Source organism: Homo sapiens, chromosome 16 (assembly GCF_000001405.40).
Source record: "Homo sapiens chromosome 16, GRCh38.p14 Primary Assembly".
Taxonomy (NCBI): Eukaryota; Metazoa; Chordata; class Mammalia; order Primates; family Hominidae; genus Homo; species Homo sapiens.
The window spans coordinates 10,429,017-10,456,634 of NC_000016.10; the positions used below are offsets into that span (position 1 = coordinate 10,429,017).

General features: G+C 40.9%; 1 protein-coding gene and 1 long non-coding RNA gene across 20 annotated transcripts in view; one reads left to right on the forward strand and one right to left on the reverse strand.

Annotated features, from left to right (window-relative positions):
* The window catches only part of ATF7IP2 (activating transcription factor 7 interacting protein 2), a 97,578-nt gene that overhangs the window by 42,956 nt on the left and 27,004 nt on the right, over nucleotides 1-27,618 (forward strand). For 11 of the 16 annotated variants that reach the window (NR_147927.2, NR_045815.3, NR_045816.3 and 8 more), the window contains 4 exons: nucleotides 1,595-2,439; nucleotides 4,509-4,633; nucleotides 9,085-9,219; nucleotides 11,348-11,446. Coding sequence is in view for 12 of the 16 variants with exons in the window: in NM_001393719.1 (NP_001380648.1) it covers nucleotides 1,605-2,439; nucleotides 4,509-4,633; nucleotides 9,085-9,219; nucleotides 11,348-11,446 (1,194 nt within the window). In the remaining 4 variants the exon portion in view is untranslated. Of the gene's footprint in view, nucleotides 1-355; nucleotides 630-1,594; nucleotides 2,440-4,497; nucleotides 4,634-9,084; nucleotides 9,220-9,421; nucleotides 9,468-11,347; nucleotides 11,447-26,080; nucleotides 26,176-27,618 lie in introns of those variants that run through there. The other 5 variants (XM_006720953.4, XM_047434685.1, XM_006720954.5 and 2 more) reach the window with 4 other exon arrangements.
* LOC107984877 (uncharacterized) lies at nucleotides 11,729-26,086 on the reverse strand. Of its 4 annotated transcripts, none has more exons than XR_007064982.1 (3): nucleotides 15,302-26,086; nucleotides 15,060-15,184; nucleotides 11,729-12,828 (listed from the first exon to the last, which is right to left on the reverse strand). It is a non-coding gene; the product is annotated as an uncharacterized LOC107984877 (long non-coding RNA). The 4 variants fall into 4 exon arrangements; XR_001752079.3 differs by having other exon boundaries at nucleotides 11,729-12,846; XR_007064981.1 differs by having other exon boundaries at nucleotides 15,060-26,086.

A 27,618-nucleotide genomic window follows, 5' to 3' on the forward strand; every position in this document is an offset into this window, starting at 1 on the left:
GTATGTGCCACACCTGGTTGAATTCTCCCTTTAAAATAATATAAGAATGTTTTTATTTGTAGGACACAAAACTGTAGCAGTGTCTTCAGGCAAAGCTGCTAATTTTATGCATCATGATTATCACTTTTAGCAAATACATCATAAAACCATGCTAGAGGAAAGATTTGATTTGTTCATTTTCTTTGGAAAATAATACAAAAATTGTATTCATGAAGAGACAATCATATAATACACAGTCCTATAGGAAAAATAGAATTGTATAGGCATATTAGGGTCTTAATTAATGAAGAGTATTGTGCTGTTTTTTGGATTTATTTAGTATATATATCAGGTTTGTTTGTGTGTTTGTTTTAAGACAGAGTCTCGCTCTGTCATCCAGGCTGGAGTACAATGGCACGATCTCGGCTCACTGCAACCTCTGCCTCCTGAGTTCAAGTGATTCGCTTGCCTCGGCCTCCCAGAAGCTGGGATTACAGGCATGTGCCAGCATGCCTGGCTAGTTTTTGTATTTTTAATAGAGATGGCGTTTTGCCCTGTTGGCCAGGCTGGCCTGAACTCCTGACCTCAGGTGATCCACCTGCCTCGGCCTCCCAAAGTGCTAGGATTACAGGCGTGAGCCACCCTACCAGGTTAGTTGGCTTATTTATTTAAGCTGGAATGTTATGTATCTTAGTGCTGGTTTTATTTTATTTTATTTTATTTTATTTTATTTTATTTATTTTATTTTATTTATTTTATTTTATTATTTTATTTTATTTTAATTTAATTTAATTTTTATTTTATTTATTTTACTTCATTTATTTTATTTTTATTTTGTTTTATTTTATTTTATTTTTATTTTATTTTATTTTATTTTTAGACTGTCTCACTCTGTTGCCCAAGCTGGAGTACAGTGGCGCGATGTTGGCTCACTGCAACCTCCACCTCCCGGGTTCGAGTGATTCTTGTGCTTCAGCCTGCCGAGTAGCTTGGGATTACAGGTGCATGCCACCATGCCTGGCTAATTTTTGTACTTTTAGTAGAGACAGGGTTTCACCACGTTGACCAAGCTGGTCTCGAACCCCTTACTGCAAATAATCCTTCCAACTCGGCCTCCCAAACTGCTGGGATTACAGGCATGAGCCACGACACCTGGCCACATTTATTTTAGAAACTTGAACATTAGGAAAGCTTAAACAGATGCCATTATGTATAGAAAATGGAATGTTTTATAAAAACTTTTTTTTGTTTTTATGAATAAGTGCAATTTAATGTTTAGATTATTTAAACTATGACTTACCTGGATAAAAAAATAGTGAATGGTTATAGCACTGAGGTGATATAACAAGAAGTGGCTAGATAAAACTATCAGGTAGAGGCTTACTAGCAATACAGATTTTGAATTTATGTAGTTTAGATTTATAGAAACAATAGAAAAGATTTTTATGTTTTCAGTGTCATGAAAATGGATATGATTTTCAGTAAGGTGATTATCTAAATATGGAGAGACAGTGTCAATGTTATTTTAATATTGTAAATAAATAACTTTAATTCAGTAGTAAATAACTTTTATTCACTAGAGAAATGCATTTAAATATGATGTCTTAAATTCCAGGATATGAAAGATGGCAAGTCCAGATAGAAGTAAACGGAAGATATTAAAAGCCAAAAAGACAATGCCCCTAAGTTGCCGGAAGCAAGTAGAGATGCTGAATAAGTCAAGGAATGTTGAAGCGCTGAAAACAGCAATTGGGAGTAATGTTCCAAGCGGTAATCAGAGTTTCAGTCCTAGTGTCATAACTAGGACGACTGAAATAACCAAATGTAGCCCTTCTGAAAATGGTGCATCCTCATTGGACTCTAATAAAAATTCAATATCAGAGAAAAGTAAAGTATTCTCTCAGAATTGCATAAAACCAGTAGAAGAAATTGTTCATTCAGAAACAAAATTGGAACAAGTTGTTTGTTCGTACCAAAAGCCAAGTAGAACAACAGAATCCCCCAGCAGAGTCTTCACAGAAGAGGCAAAAGATTCACTGAACACTTCTGAAAACGATTCTGAGCATCAGACAAATGTAACAAGATCCCTTTTTGAGCATGAGGGGGCTTGTAGTCTAAAGTCCAGTTGCTGTCCACCCAGTGTATTGAGTGGTGTTGTTCAGATGCCAGAGTCTACAGTAACCAGTACCGTGGGTGACAAGAAAACTGACCAGATGGTTTTCCATTTAGAAACAAACTCCAATTCAGAATCACATGATAAAAGGCAAAGTGACAACATTTTATGTTCAGAAGACTCAGGTTTTGTGCCTGTTGAGAAAACACCTAATTTGGTGAATTCAGTCACTTCTAACAACTGTGCTGATGACATTTTGAAAACTGATGAGTGTAGTAGAACCAGTATTTCAAATTGTGAAAGTGCAGACTCAACATGGCAGTCATCACTTGACACTAATAACAACAGTAAGTATATACTTATGCACCTTTTAGAAAAATTAAAATAGTCACTTTTCTTTAGGGTATTTTAAAGTCTCAAATATACAAACCAGTATAGACAGAAAAAAGGTAAATGATGACAATTATTTCACAGTATCTTGTTTCTGAACCATTCTTAGTGAGGTGGGGGACAGGTATCCACCATATTAAAAGGGTAATTATTGCAAAGAAGGAATCAATCACTTTTCCTTAAGTACAAAATATCAAAAGGTGGTTTATAGCAATTATTTGGTTCATTTCATATACATCTCTTCTTATTTTGAAGTTTTATTAGATTAAGAAGGAGGCTAGTTGAAAGAGTGAGTTTTAAAAATTGTTGGTAACCCTATTTCTTTTTTTTTTTTTTTTTTTTTGAGACGGAGTCTCGCTCTGTCGCTCAGGCTGGAGTGCAGTGGCGCGATCTTGGCTCACTGCAACCCCCACCTCCTGGGTTCGAGTGATTTGCCTGCCTCAGCCTCCTGAGTAGGTGGGATTACAGATGGGCACCACTACGCCCGGCTAATTTTTTTTTTTTTTTTTTTTGTATTTTTAGTAGAAACAGGGTTTCACCATGTTGGTCATGCTGGTCTCGAACTCCTGACCTCGTGATCCACCCGCCTTGGCCTCCCAAAGTGCTGGGATTACAGGCGTGAGCCACTGTGCCCAGCCAACCCTATTTCTTTCTATAGAATTGACCTGTAAATCACATGCTAAGTATGATAGATAATATATTCACACATGTGTATATGTGTGTGTAGAGAAAGAGAAGCACCCCAAATAATAAATGAAGTCCTTGGGTTATAACATCATTAAAATAGCAAAAGTGAATTTCATTTGAAGTAGGGTATTTTGTTAATGAAATAGAAAAAAACTGATTTAATGCTATAAATTTTGTGTTCTTGTCTAGACTACAGAATGGTCATTTAACAAGATGAATTTAAAATTCCTTAAAAATAATAACAGTATCATCTATTTCAAATATGTATAATAGGCTGGGTGTGGTGGCTCATGCCTGTAATTAACAGCACTTTGGGAGGCCGAGGCAGGAGGATCGCTTGAGCCATCCAGGCTAGCCTGGGCAACAGATCCAAGACCCTGTCTCTTAAAGAAAAAAAAAGAAGCCGGGCGCTGTGCCTAACGAATACAATCCCAGCACTTTGGAAGGTTGAGGCAGGTGGATCACCTGAGGTCAGGAGTTCAAGACCAGCCTGGCCAACATGGCGAAACCCCGTCTCTACTAAAAATACAAAAAAAATTAGCCAGGCGTGGTGGTGGGCACCTATTATTATTATCGCAGCTACTTGGGAGACTGAGACAGGAGAATTGCTTGAACCTGGGGGGCGGAAGTTGCACTGAGCCAAGATCGTGCCACTTCACTCTTGCCTGGGCGACAAGAGTGAGACTCCTTCTCAAAATGAAAAAAGAGTACCTTTATATAAAATAACGTAGAACCACTTAAGTCACTATAAATAGAGAATTAAATGCCATAATTTGTTAAGTTTTTGTTCGTATATGTGTATTGAGTTATTAAGTAAGATTAAAGGGACAGAGTATCTGAGACCAGAACCCTACCTAAGATAACTCATTTTTTTTCAAGGTTAGTTTGTGGGTACGTATTTATGCAATTGAATGTTCTAAAAAATGCTGCAGTGTCACATTTTAGTTTTTCCATTTGCTCAGAGGGTCTCTAAATTAGAGAATTCCTATTTCCTTCTCTTTTTTCCTCCTTGAAACAGGGTCTCACTGTGTTGCCCAGGCTAGAGTGCAGTAGTCAAGGTGCTCACTGCCACCTCAACCTCCCAGCCTCAAGCAATCCTCTCACCTCAACCTCCTGAGTAGCTGAGACTACGGGCATGCCCCACCATACCCAGCTAATTTTAAATTTTTTGTGGAGATGAATTTTCACTATGTTGCCCAGGCTGGTCTTGAACTCCTGGCCTTAAGCCACCCTCCCTCCTTAGCCTCCCAGAGTGCTGGGATTACAGACATGAGCCACCACACTGAACCTGTTTTTTTCTTTAAAATATCTTTCTTTCTAATCTTTTGATCTCCTCAAGGCCATTATCAAAAGAAGAGGATGTTTTCAGAAAACGAGGAAAATGTTAAACGCATGAAAACTTCAGAGCAAATTAATGAAAATATTTGTGTAAGTTTGGAAAGGCAAACAGCATTCCTGGAACAGGTAAAATATTGGGGCTTAAATGGAACTTTTACTTTTGATTAGTAAAACATGGTAAAAGTTAATTATCTGGTCCCCACAGTGGCATAATACAGACGACTTTCACTTGCTGCAGAGCTGGTGTGTGAAAGCCAAATTATCAGACAGACTGGGGAGAGATAACTACTTACATTACCAAAACAGCTCTGGTTTCTTGAAAATGGTCTCATGCAGAATAACCTAGGGATCATGTGTAGGTAGAGTCCTGTTGCAAAAAGAGAATGGGCTTTCAGTCAGTATTACACTCATATTTGTCTGTAAGTCAGACACTGCATGACCTTCAGCTTTATTAAAGAATCCAGTCTCTTTTGTACTAGTCATGGGGTTCTTAGATCTGCAGCTCTATCCATTTGTAGATCTCACCACAACCCAGAAGACTCAAACAACCTGGAAGTCCATTGCAAAGTCCCTGTGCATTCAGGTTTACTTGCCCTATTTTCCAAACTTAAACGGATATGGTACATTATCTGACATTTTGCTGTATAGCATCATTAAATACACTTCTTGCTTTCATTGTGGCCTCATTTTATCTCATTGTACTACAGTCTCAGTATGCGTTTGATCAATTGTTAGCTGAAGTGTATGTAGCGTGTTTCAGTTCTAGTAGAATGGTTATACTGAGGACGGGTTTTGATGACCATGTTTTCCTATTTCACTACCACTAGAATGCCACCACTACAAATCATTACCTAGTAGACTAATGTCTTCCAGCTGTAATGGACCGAAATTTCCCCGTCTAAACTACCCTGCAAACTGTTTCAGAAACAGAAACACTACCATTTTTTAAAACAGACCATTACAATTACATAGTTACATATACTATGAATGTGTATTCTTCACCTAATAATAAGGGAAAATAAAGGGAAAGAGTTACGCAGAACCAGCTTAAAGGGCGAGTCAACAGTTTTTCTGTGTCTCCCTTTTGGTTTTCTTCGAAGAAGACCAAAGGAGACAGTAAAAAATATGTAAGTGTTCTGTTGTTGGCAGGGAAAGGGTAGAAGTATGGTAAGCATGGATCCTAGCCCTAAGGACCATGTTATTCAAGAAGAAGGTTGGGGATTCCAGCTGTGTCTTGTTTCCAGTAATTAGTAGCTGAAGTGAGAAGTAAGTTTTTGTTTGTTTGTTTGTTTGAGGCAGAGTCTCACTTTGTCACCCAGACTGGAGTGCAGTGGCACAGTCTCGGCTCAGTGCTACCTCCACCTCCTGAGTAGTTGGGACTACAGGTGTGCACTAGCACACCCAGCTAACTTTTTGTGTGTATTTTTAGTAGAGACAGATTTTACCATGTTGGCCAGGCTGGTCTTGAACAGCAGTTTCAGTGATCCGCCCGCCTCGGCCTCCCAAAGTGCTGGGATTACAGGTGTGAGCCACCGCGCCCAGCCAGAAGTAACTTCTGATGTGTACATAACCATCTCTAAATAGCTAGCTTTTCCTCACTTCTTATTGCTGTCCAAACAGTTGTCTCTCTCAACCATATCTAGATGTTTACCTTGTTTGAATCTCAATGAGATAGCCCTCCCCGTCATTCTGACATTGTTCTCCCCTACTGAAGGAGTCCTGCAGTGATCATTTCTTAGCCTTTTGAGGTTTCATAAGGAGCATGGCCGGGTTAATTCCAGTTAAATTACTGAAGAGGAAGGGTTTTTCCTTTACAGTCTTAAGTTATTCACTCTACCCATTATCTCAGAAAGTTGGCACAGATTGGAGATAAGTTTGTACTTTCTCCAAACTTTAGGCCAGTTTGGCTGCCATCTCCACTTTGAAGCCAGGACTTCAATCTGATTCCCTGTTGATGGGCACATTACCATTGGTAAAAACATTTATGAGGTATTTGATGGAGGTTATTGTGTCTTCCTTTTGTATAAGGAACATTACCATTAAATTAGAACAAGTGTATAGTCTAACCAAGAGGAGTTGCCCCATGGTGGGTACTTAGTCAAAAATGATCAAATTTAAGGACCTGTCCCAATGTGAACCACCAGGAGTACTTGTTTAAATTGTGGTTTCTTGAGCTAATAGTTGAAGACTGTTGTTGTAGGCTACTGCTTTCTCAAACGTACCTGATAAAAATCATTTGTAGTAACTGTTTAGTATACAACTTTCCAGGCTCCTTTCCAAAAGATTGTGTTTGGTGGATCCAGGATGTGGCCTAGGAATTCGATTTTTAACAACCATCCCATGTGATTGTTCCTCACCAAGGATGAGGAACACTGTTAGAGAAACACTGTACAAAACAGTGTTTCCACGTTCAAAAGATTTAGATTTGTTTCTCCAAGATTCATGTGGGTATGAGCTTCACATATTGAACCCAGCCAGTGAACTAACAAACATGTGATGATCCATAGAAACCACACGAGTAATAGGTAATGGTCATCGGTAAAAATAATAGTATTGGCCGGGCGTGGTGGCTCACGCTTATAATCCTAGCACTTTGGGAGGCCAAGTTGGGTGGATCACTTGAGGTCAGGAGTTCAAGACCAGCCTGGCCAACAATGGTGAAACCCTGTCTCGGCTAAAAATATAAAAATTAGCTGGACATGGTGGAGCATGCCTGTAGGCTCAGCTACTAGGAAGGCTGAGGCAGGAAAATCACTTAAACATGGTGGGTGAAGATTGCAGTGAGCCGGGATCACGCTGCTGCACTGCAGCCTGAGCAACAGAGCGAGACTCTGTCCCAAAAAATATAATAGTATGTGTTACTGAGCCTTTTTTTTTTAAATAATACATTTTGAGCACATTCATTTGCTCACATGTTTAAAAGTTATGAAAGTAAAAATGACAATCATGTCTAATGTAGAGAAACCATGGAAGAAATGTTAGTGAAGCATTAGAGAAGAGATCAAGTAGACAATGTTGAAGAGTGAGAACACTTGGAAACAGGAAGGAAGAGCCTTGGGAATGATCAAAATTAAAGAATATAATCATCCAGGTGATATCAATATAAGAGTTTAACGTAGGAACTATGTGTTCTATTTTGAGCATCATGAAGCAAGATACTGGAGGAAAAAATATATAAATATTATAAATACCTTAAATGTATCATAACAGGTCATATTAACAAAGACTACTTACACTGTGGTGAAAATTGCTTACCAGGAGGATACACACTGAGTGAAAAACTACAGTGAATGTTTCTGAATGTATGGCTCAGCAGAGCTGCTCATATCAGTGGGCATTGAAATTAATTATTCTCCCTGAAAATGGGCCAGTCTGTTTTCAAAAAAAAAAGATAAGTTCATTAATTTTTCATATTACAGCTACTACGATTTGTTAGAATGGCATGCATTATGGCAGATAACATTGGTAACTACATAATTGTCCTTGGCTATTTTTCCCATTTTTTTTTTTTTTTTGAGACGGAGTCTCGCTCAATCACCCAGGCCTGGAGTACAGTGGTGTGATCTCGGCTCACTGCAACCTCCACCTCCTGGATTCAAGCAGTTCTCCTGTCTCAGCCTCCAGAGTAGCTGAGACTATGTTGCCTGCCACCATGCCTGGCTAATTTTTGTATTTTTAGTAGAGTCGGGGTTTCACCATGTTGGTCAGGCTGGTCTTCAACTCCTGACCTCGTGATCTGCCCACCTCGGCCTCCCAGAGTGTTGGGATTACAGGCGTGAGCCACTGCACCCGGCTGGCTTCTTTCAGTTTTAGCACCGTGCTCTAACTAGCTGAGCTAACCAACTGATTGATATTATTTCAATTTTAACAATAAGAAAGCCACCCCCTAAAACAATTATGGAAGTAATGGTGATTATCTTACATATTTACTTCTTTCATATCAATTCAGTGTTTTTTATTTTATGGTGCTCTTTTGCGTATTACCTTATGTTCCTATAAAAATCCTTTGAGTATCACTTGTTCAACATTTATTATATTATCTACTCATTTGTCAACAAGGAAAATGAAGCTCAAAAATAATGTGACTGACTAAAGGGTCAAGTAGCTTATTAGTGGTAATGTCAAGTCTCACACTTGTGTAATTTGTTCTATATCTACTACAGACCAACCAACCATTTTCATCAGGTGCTGGTTTTCAGATAAGTAGAGTTCCTTTATATGGAATACTAACTAGGAGTTATGGATATTAAAAAATATAAATGGCATATAGTCTTTTAATTGTTTCTATAATGTATAGTATGGAATTCAAGTGGAACTATAGGAAACTAAAGTTAGCATTATGAGAATAAATTTAATTTCTAACATGTCCAGTATACTTAAATATTGGATGTGTTCTGAGTTTAATATTCAAGTTTTGAAAAACTTACTGGTATAGTTATATAAACATACAAATATAAATAAACTATATTTAATTGGTTACAGTAAATCTGGAAAAGAGCAAGGCTTTTTAAGTAGAAAGTAAAATTGCTTTTAAATTTGAAACGTAGGGTGTTTTGGTTTTTATTTTAAAATTCTAGGTCAGACATTTGATTCAGCAGGAGATCTATAGCATAAATTATGAACTATTTGATAAGAAACTGAAAGAATTGAACCAACGCATTGGGAAGACAGAGTGCAGAAATAAGCATGAAGGAATAGCTGATAAACTTTTGGTAAGTTTTGATTTCATTTGAGTCTTTTTTAGGGGAGTAGGGGGTGTTGTTGCTCTGTTGCTCAGGCTGCAGTACGGTGGCTCACTGCAGCCTCTGCCTTCTGAGCTCAAGCAATCCTACCACCTCAGTCTCCAGAGTAGCTGAGACTACAGGTGCACACCACCATACCCTGCTAATTTTTGGGTTTTTTTTTTTTTTTTAGAGATGAGGTTTCACCATGTTGCCCATGCTTCCCTCAAACTCCTGAGCTCAAGTGATTCTCTAGCCTCAGCCTCCCAAAGTGCTGGGACTACAGGCGTGCGTCACCACACCTGGCCCATGTGAGTCCTTTTAAAAAGAAGAATTTGGTGATATTTTTCATATTAGCAAAGGAAAACAATAAGGGAAGACATACCTGATTCCTGGCCATTAGCCTAATGTGAGAACATATCATAGGCAATGTAATTTACTATAGCTTAGCAATATCGGCTTTTGAGAAATACTCAGAACTGTTAGGCATTCTGTGTCAATTGACAGGCTTAATACTTAGGCAGCTTCGGCCAGGCGCGATGGCTCATGCCTGTAATCCCAGCACTTTGGGAGGCCAAGGTGGGCGGATCACAAGGTCAAGAGATCGAGACCGTCCTGGGCAACATAGTGAAACCCAATCTCTCCTAAAAATACAAAAATTAGTTGGGCATGGTGGCGTGTGCCTGTAGTCCCAGCTACTCAGGAGGCTGAGGCAGGAGAATTGCTTGAACCAAGGAGGCAGATATTGCAGTGAGCAGAGATTGCACCACTGCACTCCAGTCTGCCGACAGCGAGACTCCATCTCAAAAAAAAAAAAAAAAAATAGGCAGTTTCTTTTAAACCTAAATATATCCTTTATTAGAACTTGTACAACCTGTTTCAAGCCTTTTTGGACTTTTTGTTTTCCTCTTCTAGTATTACTTGCTGATTGATGTTTTTAACCACATTAATTTTATTGTAGACCAATTAGAAGTTTGAGTTTTTTGTTTTGTTTCGTTTGTTTGAGATGGAGTCTCGCTCTGTCGCCCAGGCTGGAGTGCAGTGGCGCGATCTCGGCTCACTGCAAGCTCTGCCTCAGGGTTCACACCATTCACCTGCCTCAGCCTACTGTAGTCCCAGTAGCTGGGACTACAGGCGCCCGCCACCGTGCCCGGCTAATTTTTTGTATTTTTAGTAGAGACGGGTTTCACTGTATTAGCGTTGATGGTCTCAATCTCCTGACCTCATGATCCGCCTGCCTCGGCTTCCCAAAGTGCTGGGATTATAGGCGTGAGCCACCGCCCCCAGCCTTTTTTTTTTTTTTTTTTTTAAACAGTCTCACTCTGTCGCCTAGGCTGGAGTGCAGTCGTGTGATCTCAGCTCACTGCAACCTCTGCCTCCCAGGTTCAAGCGAGTCTCCTGCCTCAGCCTCCCGAGTAGCTGGGATTACAGGCGCCTGCCACTACACCCAGCTAATTTTTTGTGTTCTTAGTAGAGATGGGGTTTCTCCATGTTGGTCAGGCTGGTCTCAAACTCCTGACCTCAAGTGATCTGCCCGCCTCGGCTTCCCAAAGTGCTGGAATTACAGGCGTGAGCCACTGCGCCCGGCCGAAGTTTGAGATTTTTATCTTCCTTACCTTTAATATTATACAAGCATAGGCTGGGCACGGTGGCTCACGCCTGTAATCCCAGCACTTTGGGAGGCAGAGGCAGGTGGATGCTGGGGTCAGGAGTTCAAACCAGCCTGACCAACATGGAGAAACCCCGTCACTACTAAAAATACAAAATTAGCCAGGTATGGTGGCGCATGCCTGTAATCCTAGCTACTTGGGAGGCTGAGGCAGGAGAATCGCTTGAACCCGGGAGGCAGAGGTTGCAGTGAGTCGAGATCGCACCATTGCACGCCAGCATGGGCAACAAGAGCGAAACTCCATCTCAAAAAAAAATTTTTTTTATTTATATATATGTATATGTTATACAAGCATAAAATGTGATTTCAAGCTTTTGCATATATTAGAATTTTTCATTTGGGTAGATGTCTAGGTCTTACAAAACTACTTTGGCAAATAATTTACCCTCTATCTCTATGTGATATATAGTACTCTGGCTTAGTATTTATTTTTTTCTCTTTTTCTTCTAGGCAAAAATAGCAAAACTTCAAAGACGTATTAAAACAGTATTATTATTTCAAAGGAATTGTTTGAAACCAAACATGTTATCCAGTAATGGAGCCTCTAAGGTTTGTATAAACACACAGGAATTGTAATCATCTATTTGACTCATATAAGTGGTTTGATTAGAAGAAATGAATATATTTCCAGGCTAGGACAGAAGGTGTAAAGGTAAGTAAGTTTTTACTTAGAGTGTTCCCATGCATCTGTCTCTGGAAAAGACACCCTTAGGTAGTACATGCCACTTGTATTTCTGTAGTAAAGGGAGTAGAAAGAGGATTGGTGATTGCCAAGATTGGCTTCCCCCACCCCCATTTTATCATGAAAAGTATCAAATATATACAGCAAAGTTGAAATTATGTGTTTTTAATTATAGTTTAAGTTCTGGGGTACATGAGCAAAATGTGCAGTTGCATTACATAGGTATACACGTGTCATGGTGGTTTGTCAGACCCATCAACCTGTCATCTACATTAGGTATTTCTCCTAATGCTATCCCTCCCCTAGCCTCCCCACCCCCTGACAGGCCCTGGTGTGTGGTGTTCCCCTCCGTGTGTCCATGTGTTCTCATTGTTCAACTCCCACTTATGAGTGAGAACATGTAGTGTTTGGTTTTCTGTTCTCGTGTTAGTTTGCTGAGAATGATGGTTTTCAGCTTCATCCATGTCGCTGCAAAGGACATGAATTCATCCTTTTTTTGGCTGCATAGTATTCCATGGTGTATAAGTGCCACATTGTCTTTATCCAGTCTATCATTGACGGGGATTTGGGTTGATTCCAAGTCTTTGCTATTGTAAATAGTGCTGCAATAAACGTACGTGTGCATGTGTCTTTATAGCAGAATGATGTATAATCCTTTGGGTATATACCCAGTAATGGGATTGCTGGGTCATGTGGTAGTTCTGGTTCTATAGATCCTTGAGGAATCGCCACACTGTCTTCCACAATGGTTGAACTAATTTACACTTTCACCAACAGTATAAAAAGCATTCCTATTTCTGCACATCCTCTCCAGCATCTGTTGTTTCCTGACTTTTTAATGATCGCCATTCTAACTGGCATGAGTTAGTATCTTACTGTGGTTTTGATTTGCATTTCTATAATGACCAGTGATGATCAGCTATTTTTCATGTTTGTTGGCTGCATAAATGTCTTCTTTGGAGAAGTGTCTGTTCATATCCTTCGCCCGCTTTTTGATGGGGTTGTTTTTTTCTTGTAAATTTAAGTTCTTTATAGATTCTGGACATTAGCCCTTTGTCAAATGGATAGATTGCAAAAATTTTCTCCCATTCTGTAGGTTGCCTGTTCACTCTGATGATAGTTTCCTTTGCTGCGCAGAATCTCTTTAGTTTAATTAGATCCCATTTGTCAATTTTGGCTTTTGTTGCTGTTGCTTTTGGTGTTTTAGTCATGAAGTCTTTGCCCATTCCTATGTCCTGTATGTTATTGCCTATGTTAGAAACAAGAGCTGGGAGTCACAAAGAAAACATGCACTCAGACAAAAGATTTCTCAACAAGGCAAATTTACTTCTGCAGAAAGGTGCTGCCTGCATCAGTCATGATCGCAAAAGCACACTGAACAAAGGAAAGCAGGGGATTTTATTCCTAATGCTGTTCCTGTTTCTGTGTCCTCCCCCCATTAATTGGGGTCGGATTGCACAATCTAAACTCATCCCAATTGACTAGATTTAGCATTTAGAATAGGATAAAGAACCAGGAAGTTTGTTTGTACCTAACAACTTAAAGTAAGGTGGTGTGGGTCAGCTACAACCATGGTAGATGAAGGCATGCCTGGGTGTGTAAAAGGCAGGAAAGGTTACTTATAAATTGGAACAAAGGACAAGGAGGGTGAAACCCTTATGAAGAGAAACTTGTTTGTTCCTAACAATTTTCCCCCTCTTGAATTTATACACTTTATTCTTCAAACTTATCTAACATGTCTTGACTTTGCTGTTCTTCTTGATTTTCTAGCAGTAAAAGCTTGTCAGAATAGTGTGGAAAAGAAATGAGGAAAGTTTTAGTAGGGGCTGTTTTTATAAGTTTTATTGTTTTATTGAACTAGTCCATGAATAGAAGGTATGATACAGCAGCCAGTGGGAATGAGTACCCTAACTATAATTGCAAGGGAAGTAAAAATAGAAGCCATGAGTCCTTTCCATTTACCAAACCACCTTTCTAACCATCCTGTAAAGGGGTCATTTACCCTAGAATTCCTGGTTAACTCATTAGATAAGGAGGTGAGACCTTGTAGAGGTTTAGTGATTGTTCCATGAGGGGCTGTATTGTTAGGGATGAAGGTAAAACATTGGGTTCCTATCACGATACAGACTCCATCTTTTTCTGCTAGTATCATATCTAGTGCCATTCTATTTTCACAGGCCATTTGGCCCTAATTGCTCAGCTGTTCCTTTAATGGCATCCTTAGTATAACTGACAAATTGTTGTTGGTTATAGTAGATATAATTTATCCAATCCACGTTTTTATTAACAGTTACCCACCAGAACAAGGATTCAAACCCTGCAGCTGTTTGGTTTCATGCTTTAAATTTATCTGGTACCCCTCATGGGACTCCAATGGCATCTATATAAACGTGAGAATCAAAAGATCGTGAGGGGCCTCTCTTGTTTTATGGTGGTGTTTTTCCTTTTCCTGGTTGATGGAATGCTAGAGTGAAAGGGATGGCCAATTGAATTAGAGCGCAAGTACTGCTCCAGTTATTTGGCAGAGTGTCCAATAAGGGTCCACCACAGTACCACAACACATCCACTCGAGGATGAGTAAGGGCAGACTGATTGGTAAGCTCTTAGAAAGGCTTAAGCTCACTGCATCCCTTTAGGTCTCCAAGAAATGCCAAATTTTCTCCCTGTCATGAGAGACACAAAGTAAAATTGGCATCGTTAGATGGAAGCTGGGTGGCCCTCAGGGACTGACCTGCAGGGTGCTGGACTTCAGGCAATAGCAGAGAGAGAGCTTGGCATGACTTATTACCCCAGGCTGTGGGGTGCTAGAAGAGAGCTACCATACAGTCCACACCCAGTCGATTTGAAGGCCATGCAAGTAGAAAGCGGACAACCTGGGCCTCTGGCCTACCGTGTGCACAAGCGTAACAACTGCTTTTGTTGAGAGTGCAAACAGAATATTCAATTCATTCCATGCAGGCATTTGCTTCTTGGTATCCAGTCTCAATTGCTAAAGTCTGTTTTAAATCTTTTACTTTTACAATAGCTACTTTAGTTTTGTCATTGGGAAGGGGGTGAGGAGTGGCACCCACTATTTGATTTGGTGGATTTAGGGAAGGTGAAGTGGTAGGAGGTGGAGAATGGTGGACAAAATGTATTTCAAGGAGGCTATAGGGTCCCTTCCAGCAACATTGGCTCCTAAACCATAGAGACAGCCTAAGGTGGGCTTAGGGTCAATGGAAGTAGAAGTGGTAGTGGAGAGAAGAACTGGGTTACATTGCTAGGACTGACAATTAGAGGGGGTGGTTCATTTAGCGATATAGAGATAAGGCTTTAGGGCGGCACAGGGACCTTCCGTGAAAGTCCAGCCTTGGTACTGAGTGGTCCAATAAACACGTTCCCAAGAGCTACAGGGTTTCAAATACCATGCTAGACGGTCACAATGGTGAGAGTTAGGGGTGGGTTCTGTGTGTTCTAGAGGGCCAGGGCAAAGGTACTTACCTGAAGAGGCTAGTTGCCTTTGGGTTTGTAGGTCCCCACAGGGCATAACAAGACAAGCATCAAATGTAATTGTTTGAGGAAACGATGATCAGGTTACATTGATAAAATAAAATGTTCCTGGGTAGCTAACGAAAGAAAGAGGGAGCAAATTAGACAGGTTAAGTTTTTTTGAATATTAGTTTGGAAGGTGTTGGCCCGGGAGTGACAACCTATGCCTCCAAAGGGGGTCATGCCTTTTTCACCTGAGTGTGATGGGTCTACCCTTTCTTAACGGTCCAGACTGCTGTCTCAGTGGTTAGGGGCACTAGATAAGGTCTCCCAGGTTGGTTCGAGTTTTTCTTCTTTCCAGCTTTTGATGAGGACGTAATCTCCAGATTGATACAGATGCACTGGGAACTCAAGAGGCAGTGTTTGTGCTAAGAGACCTTGGGTCCTAAGAGAAGACAAAGTAGAAGATAGACCAAGTATGTAATGTCTTTTTGAGGGGCAGTTCGAATAGAAGATAGACCAAGTACGTAATGTCTTTTTGAGGGGCAGTTTGAATTCTGAGCAGGGCAATGGGGAGACACTTGGTCCAAGGCAATGAAGTTTTCAAAATCGATTTAAATGATTCTTTAAAGTTTGGTTCATTTTTTTCTACCTTCCTTGATGAAGGTGGATGCCATGGAGTATGATATTCCCAATTTATTCCTAGAGTTTGAGTAAGCCCTTTAACAATATTTGCACTGAAACGAGTTCCATTATCTGAATCAATGTTTTTTATTATTTCAAACCTGGGTACAATATTTTCAATTAATGCCTTAACTACATTATTAGCAGTTGCATTTGAAAAGGGAATAGCTTCTACCCAGTGAGTGAGGTGATCTACTATTACTAATAGGAATTTTAGGTGACCTATTGAGGTATTTCTGTGTAATCAGTTTGGACACTATGGAATGGTCTTAGTCCTGGACGTCTTCCCGCAAGTGGTGATTTTTTTAGAGTTTGCTTATTAGTTTTCTTACGTATTAAGCAACTATCTGTAACTTGTTTGGCTAGGGTATAAATTCCTATACACCCATAAACTCTGAGAACTGCATCACACATAGCTTGGGGTCCCCAATGGGTTCCTTGATGCAGCTGAGACAAGACCTCCTTCATGAGAGGTTTGGATAACATTTCTCTTTGGTCTGATAATACCCATTTCCCTTCTGAGTTTTCTTTAGCCCCTGTTTTTATTAATTTTTCTTTTTTCAGTGGAAGAGAAAATGGGGACTGTGGTAGGGGGAGGAAGGCAAGGAGTTAAGTGAAAAACAGGCCTCTCAGAGGAAACAGCCACTTGTTTGGCTATTTGATCTGCAAGGTTATTTCCTTGACTTTCAAAAGAAAGGCTTTTCTTGTGTCCTGGGACATGGACAATAGCTATTTATTCTGGCAGCTGGAGATTATTTATTTATTTATTTATTTGAGACAGGGCTTTACTCTTGTTGCCCAGGCTGGAGTGCAATGGTGTGATCTTGGCTCACAGCAACCTCCGCCTCCCAGGTTCAAGCAATTCTCCTGCCTCAGCCTCCCAAGTAGCTGGAATTACAGGCATGTGCCGCCATGACTGTCTAATTTTTTTGTATTTTTAGTAGAGACAGGATTTCTTTATGTTGGTCAGGCTGGTCTCGAACTCCCGACCTCAGGTGATCTGCCCACCTCGGCCTCCCAAAGTACTGGGATTACAGGCGTGAGCCACCACGCCTGGCCCTGGAGATTATTAAATACATGGGTGATTAACTCTTTGTGAACTAGGTCTTGACCTTTGCTATTAATAAAGCCTTGTTCAATCGAAATTTTTCCAAAAGTGTGAGCTACCCTGAAAGCATACTTGGAATCAGTATAAATAGTTCCTTCTTGGTTCTGCAAGTGCTTTAGGCTTGATATAATGCAAACAATTCACATGTTTGGGCAGACCAATTATTGGGCAGTCTTCCTGACTTCTTCAAGGGCTACTTCAAGCCCTACTTCTTCAAGGGCTTCCCCATTGATTGACTACTGAGTACCCATTATATCTTTTTCCTTCAGTTACTCAGCAAGAGCCACCTATAAATAAGTGCTGCCCTGTTTTGAAAGGGGTCTCTCTTAAATTAGGCCTAACTTTTGTATGGTAATTAATTAAATCTAAACACTCATGTTCAGGTCTCTTTAGATTTGGATCTCCAGTCAAGAAACCTGCTGGGTTAAGTGAATCATCAGTGGATAGTGTTAAATAATCTCTAACAGGATAGCTTCATATTTTAAAATTCTTGAGTCAGTAAGCCACCTTCCTGCCTTTTGATTTAAGATGGTTCTAACTTGATGAGGTGTGATTACAACCAACTTTCCACCAAAGGTTAGTTTTTGACTTGTTCCCTCCAGTCTTTAGGGGGTGAAGGAGTACAGGTCCTTGCCACCAACATAGGGCATAACCTATTTCCTCTTGGGAGGTAGGGCTCTTACTATTAATATGTTCTATTGAAAGCTGACACATCCAATCCTCATATGACCCAAACTTTGGCCAAAAAACTGAGGGTTCGAGGATTGGTTCCTGGGTCCGAATGAGACAACAATATTTTATCATCTGTTGCTTTTTCTTGTGTTTAGTCCTTTCATTATCTTTCCATATTTTAACATAAGCCCTAGGGGACTATCAGGGGGAATGTTATTGCTGCTAGTGTTATCCTTTTTATGCCCTACCTTATTTGGGGTGTTTCCCATCTTGGGGGTTTTGGGGTGAGGCTCAATATCCCCTATTGGAAGTTTCTTGCCTTCCCAACTATTGGAAGTTTGTGTGAGGCTCAATGCCCCCCTGCTGGAGATTTCTTGCCTTTCCTTTCCTATAGCCTCAACCCGCCCCCTGCCCCCCAACCACTGGAGGTTTCTCGCACTCTTCTCCTTTTGCTTCGTCTTCTCTGGCTACTTCCCCAGAGGGAATTTAGGTCCCTCTTAACATTGATGGATCAGTAGAAAACCCTGACGGGACCCCCAAAGGGCCGCCATAAGCCATATGAGTTGACCACGGAACTGCAGATTGGACTCACTCACTCTGCACAGCAGTAGTGCTTGTTACCATTCACGCACTTTCAACCTCCAAGATACTCCAACCATCAAGGAAGCACTTCACCACCCCAGCGGCTTTTCTTACCTTGGTCTGTGCACATAGTTACCTGGTCGCCACAGTATTTGTAGTCCTTGTCTTCTCGCGTTGCTGAGATTCCAGGTTTATTTGTCACAACGGGTGGGTCTCAGTCTCCAGCCTTTGAGGCCACTGCACCAAGTCAGTGGGATGCATCCCCTCCCAGAAGATGACCGGAGACCCTTCTCCGGAGAAGAATGGGATCCCAGGCAGGGCCCCCAAATTGTTAGAAATGAGCTGGGAGTTGCAAAGAAAACGAACACTCAAAAGACTTCTCGGCAAGGTAAATTTACTTCTGCAGAAGGGTGCTGCCTGCGTCAGTCACAATCACAAGAGCACACCGAACAAAGGAAAGCAGGGGTTTTTATTCCTAATGCCGCTCCTGTTTCTGTGTCTTCCCTGCCTCCCCCACCTCCCCCGTTAATTGGGGTCAGACTGCACAATCTAAACAGATCCCAATTGACTAGATTTAGCATTTAGAATAGGACAAAGAACCAGGAAGTTTATTGTTTGTACCTAACAACTTAAAGTAAGGCAGTGTGGGTCAGCTACAAGCTTGGTGGATGCCTGGGCCTGTTAAAGGCAGGAAAGATAACTTAAAAATAGAACAAAGGACAAGGGGGGTGAAATCCTTTGAAGAGAAACTGTTCCTAACACCTAGGTTTTCTTCTAAGGCTTTTATGGTTTTAGGTCTTATGGTTAAGTCTTTAATCCATCTTGAACTAATTTTTGTATAACGTGTAAGGAAGGGGTCCAGTTGCAGTTTTCTGCATATGGCTAACCAGGTTTCCCAACACCATTTATTAAATAGGGAATCCTTTCCCCATTGCTTGTTTTGGTCAGGTTTGTCAAAGATCAGATGGTTGTAGATAGGTGGTGTTATATCTAAGGCCTCTGTTCTGTTCCATTGGTCTATATATCTCTTTTGGTACCAGTACCATGCTGTTTTGGTTACTGTAGCCTTGTAATATGGTTTGAAGTCAGGTAGTGTGATGCCTCCAGCTTTGTACTTTTTGCTTAGGACTGTCTTGGCTATATGGGCTCTTTTTTGGTTCCATATGAAATTTTAAGTATTTTTTTCCAATTCTGTGAAGAAAGTCAATGGTAGCTTGATGGGGATAGCATTGAATCTATAAATTACTTTGGGCAGTATGGCCATTTTCACAGTATTGATTCTTCCTATCCATTAGCATGGAATATTTTCCATTTATTTGTGGCCTCTCTTATTTCCTTGAGCAGTGGTTTGTAGTTCTCCTTGAAGAGGTCCTTCACATCCCTTGTAAGTTGGATTCCTAGGTATTCTCTTTGTAGCAATTGTGAATGGGAGTTCACTCATGATTTGGTTCTCTGTTATTGGTATATAGGAATGCTTGTGATTTTTGCACATTGATTTTGTATCCTGAGACTTTGCTGAAGTTGCTTATCAGCTTAAGGAGATTTGGGGCTGAGATGATGGGGTTTTCTAAATATTATTTAGAAAATCTCAATCTATTTTAGATGTAGATATTTCTAAATCTAAAAATTGCATGTTATCTGCAAACAGAGACAATTTGACTTCCTCTCTTCTTATTTGAATACCCCATATTTCTTTCTCTTGCCTGATTGCCCTGGCCAGAACTTCCAATACTATGTTGAATAGGAGTAGTGAGAGAGAGGGCATCCTTCTCTTGTGCCAGTTTTCAAAGGGAATGCTTCCAGTTTCTGCCCATTCAGTATGATATTGGCTGTGGGTTTGTCATAAATAACTCTTATTATTTTGAGATATGTTCCATCAGTACCTAGTTTATTGAGAGTTTTTAGCATGAAGGGGTGTTGAATTTTGTCAAAGGCCTTTTCTGCATCTATTGAGATAATCATGTGGTTTTTCTCATTGGTTCTGTTTATGTGATGGATTAAGTTTATTGATTTGTGTATGTTGAACCAGCCCTGCATCCTAGGTATGAAGCCAACTTGACCGTGGTGGATAAGCTTTTTGATGTGCTGCTGGTTTCAGTTTGCCAGTATTTTATTGAGGATTTTCGCATTGATGTTCATCAGGGATATTGGCCTGAAATTTTCTTTTGTTGTGTCTCTGTGAGGTTTTGGTATCAGGATGACGCTGGACTCATAAAATGAATTAGGGAGGATTCCCTCTTTTTCTATTCTTTGGAATGGTTTCAGAAGGAACAGTACCAGCTCCTCTTTGTACCTCTGGTAGGATTTGGCTGTGAATCCATCTGGTCCTGGACTTTTGGTTGGTAGACTATTAATTACTGCCTCAATTTCAGAACTCGTTATTGGTCTTTTCAGGAATTCGATTTCTTCCTGCTTTAGACTTGGGAGGGTGTATGTGTCCAGGAATTTATACATTTCTTCTAGATTTTCTAGTTTATTTGCATAGAGGTGTTCATATTATTCTCTGATGGTAGTCTGTATTTCTGTGGGATCAGTGGTGATATCCCCTTTATGATTTTTTATTGTGTCTATTTGATTCTTCTGTCTTTTCTTCTTTATTAGTCAGGCTAGCGGTCTATTTTGTTGGATCTTTTTTAAGAAAACCAGCTCCTGGATTCATTGATTTTTTTGTTTGTTTGTTTGTTTTTAAGGGTTTTTCATGTCTCTATCTCCTTCAGTTCTGCTCTGATCTTAGAGTTATTTCTTGTCTTCTGCTAGCTTTTGAATTTGTTTGCTCATGCTTCTCTACTTCTTTTAATTTTGATGTTAGGGTGTCGATTTTAGATCTTTCCCGCTTGTGGGCATTTAGTGCTATAAATTTCCCTCTAAACACTGTTTTAAATGTGTCCCAGGGATTCTGATACATTGTGTCTTTGGTCCCATTGGTTTCAAAGAACATCTTTATTTCTGCCTTAATTTTGTTATTTATCCATTAGTCATTCAGGAGCAGGTTGTTCAGTTTCCATGTAGTTGTGTGGTTTTGAGTGAGTTTCTTAATACTGAGTTCTAATTTTATTGCACTGTGGTCTGAGAGACTGTTAGGATTCCCATTCTTGTGCATTTGCTAAGGAGTGTTTTAATTCCAGTTATGTGGTCAATTTTAGAATAAGTATGATGAGGTGCTGAGAAGAATGTATATTCTATTGATTTGGGGTGGAGAGTTCTGTAGATGTCTATTAGGTCCACTTGGTCCAGAGTTGAGTTCTAGTCCTGAGTATCCTTGCTAATTTTCTGTCTCGTTGATCTGTCTGATATTGACAGTGCGTTGTTAAAGTCTCCCACTATTACTGTCTGAGAGTCTTAAGTCTCTTTGTAGGTCTTTAAGAACTTGCTTTATGAATCTGGGTGTTCCTGCATTGGGTGCATATATATTTATGATAGTTCTTCTTGTTTCATTGATCCCTTTACCATTAGGTAATGCCTTTCTTTGTCTCTTTTGATCATTGTTGGTTTAAAGTCTGTTTTATCAGAGACTAGGATTGCAACCCCTGCTTTTTTTTTTGTTTTCCATTTGCTTGGTAGATCTTCCTCCATCCCTTTATTTTGAGCCTGTGTGTGTCTTTGCATGTGAGATGGATCTCCTGAATACAGCACACCAATGGGTCTTGACTCTTTATCCAGTTTGCCAGTCTGTGTCTTTTAATTGGGGCATTTAGCCCATTTACATTTAAGGTTAATATTGTTATGTGTGAATTTGATCCTGTCATTATGATGCTAGCTGGTTATTTTGCCGGTTAGTTGATGCAGTTTCTTCACAGTGTCAATGGTCTTTACAATTTGGTATGTTTTTGCAGTGGCTGGTACTGGTTGTTCCTTTCCATGTTTAGTGCTTCTTTCAGGAGCTCTTGTAAGGCAGGCCTGGTGGTGACAAAATGTCTCAGCATTGGCTTGTCTGTAAAGGATTTTATTTCTCCTTCACTTATGAAGCTTAGTTTGGCTGGATATGAAATTTTGGGTTGAAAATTCTTTTCTTTAAAAATGTTGAATATTGGCCCCCACTCTCTTCTGGCTTGTAGGGTTTCTGCAGAGAGAGCTGCTGTTAGTCTGATGGGCTTCCCTTTGTGGGTAACCTTACCTTTCTCTCTGGCTGCCCTTAACATTTTTTCTTTCATTTCAACCTTGGTGAATCTGACGATTATGTGTCTTAGGGTTGCTCTTCTCCAGGAGTATCTTTGTGGTGGTCTCTGTATTTCCTGAATTTGAATGTTGGCCTGTCTTGCTAGGTTGGGGAAGTTCTCCTGGATAATATCCTGAAGAGTGTTTTCTAACTTGGTTCCCTTCTCCCTGTCACTTTCGGGTACAACAATCAAACATAGGTGTGGTCTTTTCACATAGTCCCATATTTCTTGGAGGCTGTGTTCGTTCCTTTTCAAAAATTCTTTTTTCTCTAATCTTGTCTTCTCACTTTATTTCATTAAGTTGATCTTCAATCTCTGATATCCTTTCTTCCGCTTGATCAGTTCAGCTGTTAATACTTGTGTATGCTTCATGAAGTTCTCATACCGTGTTTTTCAGCTCCATCAGGTCATTTATATTCTTCTCTAAACTGGTTATTCTACTTAGCTATTTATCTAACCTTTTTTCAAAGCTCTTAGCTTCCTTGCATTGAGTTAGAAGATGCTCCTTTAGGCTGGGTACACTGGCTCACACCTGTAATCCCAGCACTTTGAGAGGTCGAGATGGACACAAGGTCAAAAGTTCAAGACCACCCTAGCCAACATAGTGAAACCCCATCTCTACTAAAAATACAAAAAAGTAGCTGGGCGTGGTGGTGCACGCCTGTAGTCCCAGCTACTCAGGAGGCTATGCAGGAGAATCGCTTGAACCCGGGAGGCAGAGGTTGCAGTGAGTCGAGATCGCTCCACTGCACTCCAGCCTGGGCGACAAGAGCAAAACTCCGTCCCAAAAAAAAAAAGTGCTCCTTTAGCTCATTGGAGTTTGTTATTACCCACCTTCTGAAGCCTACTTCTGTCAACTTGTCACCCTCATTCTCCGTCCAGTTTTGGTCTGTTGCTGGCAAGTAGTTGTGATCCTTTGGAGGAGAAGAGGCGTTCTTGTTTTTGGAATTTTCAGCCTTTTTGGGCTGGTTTCTCCCCATCTTTGTGGATTTATCTACCTTTGGTCTTTGATGTTGGTGACCTTCGGATGGGGTCTCTGAGTGGACGTCCTTTTTGTTGATGTTGATGCTATTCCTTTCTGTTTGTTACTCTTCTGTCAGGCCCCTGTGGTGCAGGTCTGCTTGAGGTCCACTCCCGACCTTGTTTGCCTGGGTATCACCAGCAGAGGCTGCAGAACAGCAACGATTGCTGCCTGTTCCTTCCTCTGGAAGCTTCATCCCAGAGGGGCACTGACAGATGCCAGCCAGAGCTCTCTTGTATGAGGTGTCTGTTGGCCCCTACTGGGAGGTGTCTCCCAGTCAGGATACACGGGGGTCAGGGACCCACTTGAGGAGCCAGTCTGACATTTAGCAGAGCTCAAATGCTGTGCTGGGAGATCCACTGATCTGCTGCTCTCTTCAGAGTCCTGTCCGGCAGGGACATTTAAGTCTACTGAAGCCCTCAGGTGCTCTGTCCCAGGGAGATGGGGGGTTTATCTATAAGCCCCTGCTGCCTTTTTTTCAGAGATGCCCTGTCCAGAGAGGAGGAATCTAGAGAGGCAGTCTGGCCACAGTGGCCTTGCCGAGCTGCAGTGGGCTCGGCCCAGTTCAAACTTCCCAGTGGCTTTGTTTGCACTGTGAGGGGGAAACCGCCTACTCAAGCCTCAGCAATGGTCAATGCCCCTCCCCTCACCAAGCTTGACCATCCCAGGTCAACCTCAGACTGCTGTGCTGGCAGCGAGAATTTCAAGCCAGTGGATCTTAGCTAGCTGGGCTCCGTGTGGGTGGGACCTGCCGAGCCAGAACACTTGGCTCCCTGGCTTCAGCCCCCTTTGCAGGAAGAGTGAACGGTTCTCTCTCACTGGCATTCTAGGCACCACTAGGGTATGGAAAAGAAAAACTCCTGCACCTAACTCAGTGTCTGCCCTAACAGCCACCCAGCTTTGTGCTTGAAACCCAGGGCCGTGGTAGCATAGGCACCGGAGGGAATCTCCTGGTCTGTGGGTTGTGAAGACTGTGGGAAAAATGCAGTATCTGGGCTGGAGTGTACCGTTCCTCACGGCATAGTCCATCATGGCTTCCCTTGGGTAGGGAAGAGAATTCCTTGACCCGTTGTGCTTCCCTGGTGAGAGCCCCACCATGCTTTAGCTCGCTGTCTGTGGCTACACCCACTGTCCAACTAGTCCCAATGAGATGAACCAGGTACCTCAGTTAGAAATGCAGAAATCACCTGCCTTCTGCATCAATCTTACTGGGAGCTGCAGACCGGAGCTGTTCCTATTCAGCCATCTTGCCAGCAATCCGAAATAATTTTATAGTGAATACTTGTATACTCAGCACTTAGATTCTGAAAACTGAGCAAGGAGCTTTCTTTGTTTATTTATTTTTTTGAGATGGAGTTTCAGTCTTGTTGCCCAGGCTGGAGTGCAGTGGCACAATCTCAGCTCATCGCAACCTCCATCTCCTGGGTTCAAGCAATTCTCCTACCTCAGCCTCCCGAGTAGCTGGGATTACAGTCATGCGCCACCACACCTGGCTAATTTTGTATTTTTAGTAGAGACAGGGTTTCTCCATGTTGGTCAGGCTGGTCTTGAACTCCCGACCTCATGTGATCCGCCTGCCCTGACCCCAGGTGATCCACCCGCCTTGGCCTCCCAAAGTCCTGGGATTACAGGCATGAGCCACTACGCCTGGCCCACAGCTTTCTTCGTAAGAAGGCTTTTACTTGAAAATCCAATTCTTTCGTAGGTACAGAGCCATTCAGTTTTTTTTTTTTTTCCATCTTTTATCAGTTTTGCAAGTTATCTTTGTAAGGAATTTATCCATGTTATCTAAATTATTGAATTCACTGTCATAAAGTTATCAGTAAAATTCACTTGTCCTAGGCTGGGCGCGGTGGCTCACACCTGTAATCCCAGCACTTTGGGAGGCTGAGGCGGGCAGATCACAAGGTCAGAAGTTCGAGACCAGCCTTGCTAACACGGTGAAACCCCGTCTCAACTAAAAATACAAAAAATTAGCCGGGCATGGTGACAGGTGCCTGTAATCCCAGCTACTTGGAAGGCTGAGGCAGGAGAATCGCTTGAACCTGGGAGGCGGAGGTTGCAGTGAGCCAAGATTGTGCCACTGTACTCCAGCCCAGTGACAGTGTGAGACTCCATCTCAAAAAAAAAAAAAAAAAAAAAAAAAAAAAATTCACTTGTCCTTTTAATGTTTGGGGTTCTACAGTGTATCACTGTACTTTGTTTCTGATGTGGGTTAATCTGTATATTTATTATTTTTCCTTCTTGATCAACCAGATTTTGTTATTTCTATCATTTGTTTTCTTTATTTTGATTCCTGTTTTTCTTTATTGTCTTTCTTTTACTGACTTTAGTTATAATTTGTTCTTTTTCCAGGTTCTTAAGAGACCTTTTCTAACATTAAACATTTAAAGCTGAATTTCCTTCTAAGTATCACTTATTCTAAGCATCTTCTTAGTGGTTAGATTATGTACTTCTTAATGCAAATATTATAATCTTTGATACATCATATCTTTGTTTTCCATCAGTTCAAAATGATTTATAATGTTCCTTGTATTCTTTGACATATGAATTATTTGGAAGTGTGTGTTTAATTTCAAAATATTTGTGACTTCTAGGTATTTTATTTTTATAATACCTGATTTCATTTGGTCAGAGAACATACTATGTAAAACTTAAATTTTGAAAGTTAAACTTATTTTATAGTCCAGCATATTATTTTACTTGACGAATGTTCCATGTACAGAATGTTGGTTGTAATGTTCTGTAAATGTCATGTTTGAGTTAATTGTGCCAAGATGGTTGATAGTGTTTTTTCGACCTTCTACAGCTATGGTAGATGGAAAAAATGGTCCCTGCAAGATGTCCATGACCTAATTCCCAGAACTTGTGAATATGTTACCTTACATGGTGAAAAGAGTCTTTGTAGGTATTATTAAATTAAGTACCTTGAGATGATGGGTAGTTAATCCTGGATTATCTGTGTGGGCTCATTTTAATCAAAAGGGTTCTTACAAAAAAAGTGGCAAGAAGGTCAAAGGCAGAAAAAGGAAATGGGACAATGGAAGCAGAGGCTGGAATGAAGTACACTGAAGATGGAGGAGGGCCTCAAGTCCAGAAACGCAGGCAGCCTCCAGAAGGAAGGCCAGTACCTTGATTTTAGCTTAGTAAAACTGATTTCCAACTTTTGGCTTCTAAAGCTGTGATAAAATAAGTCATGCAGTTTGTGGTAATTTGTTAAGGTAACTTCAGGAAATTCACAAAGAATTTGGTACCAGGAAGTGTGGGGTGCTGCTGTAACCAATACCTAAAAATGTGAAAGTGGCTTTTGAGTAGGGTAATGCATAGAGACTAGAGGAGTTTTGAGGAGCATGCTTTATAAAAAGCCTAGATTACCTTGAACAGACTCTTAGTAGAAATTTGGAAGTTAAAGACTGCCCGTGGAGGTTAAAAGGAAATGAGCACAGTGGAGAAAACCTACCATGGACTTAATACCTAGATCTTCATAAACAAACTTTTGATAGAAATATAGACATTAAAAGCATTGTTGGTGAGGACTTGAAAGGAAATGAGGATACATGTTATTGGAAACAGGAGGAAAGGGGATTTGTGTTACGTAGTGGCAGGAAGTTTAGTTGCATTGTATCCTACATTATATGGAAAACAACTTGTAAACTATGAATTTGGATTTTGTTTGACTTATGAGATTTTATTTCTTTTTTTATTTTTTGGAGTCAAAGTCTGGCTCTGTTGCCCAGGCTGGAGTGCAGTGACACAATCTCGGCTCACTGCAACATCCGCCTCCTGGGTTCAATCAATTCTCGTGCCTTAGCCTCCTGAGTAGCTGGGATTACCGGGGTGTATGAGGTTTCTAAGCAAAGTGTTGAAGGTTTGGCCTGATTTCCTCTTGCTTCTTTTCACAATGTGAGAAAAAAAAAGAGAAAAATTGAAGAAGAAACAAACTGTTTAGCAGAAAGGAACCAGGACTTAATGATTTAGGCAATTCTCAGCCTGACCAGATTGCAGAAGACTCTAAGAGGCTCACTATCAGAAGAGTATGCCCCGGAGAGAAAGTCAAGATTTTGGCTGGACACCCTTTTGCTAGTGCCTTGGAAGGATCAAATGTCTCAGTATCCAGTCACAGGGAGGGCTCTTTGAAAACACTAAGCATAGGACTCCCTTTCAGCAGGAAGTTCCCCTGTTTAGGTTTAGTGTGTAGATCCTGGCCTCTTCTTTTAAGCTGCAGTTTCAATGACAGTTTACTTTTCAGAGCTCTTACAGTGCCATACTGCTTAGCTTCATTCTTCTGGCTCCACTGGGTCTCCCATTTAGCCCCTGCCGGTGCCACCTCAATCCCCAGTGCCATTG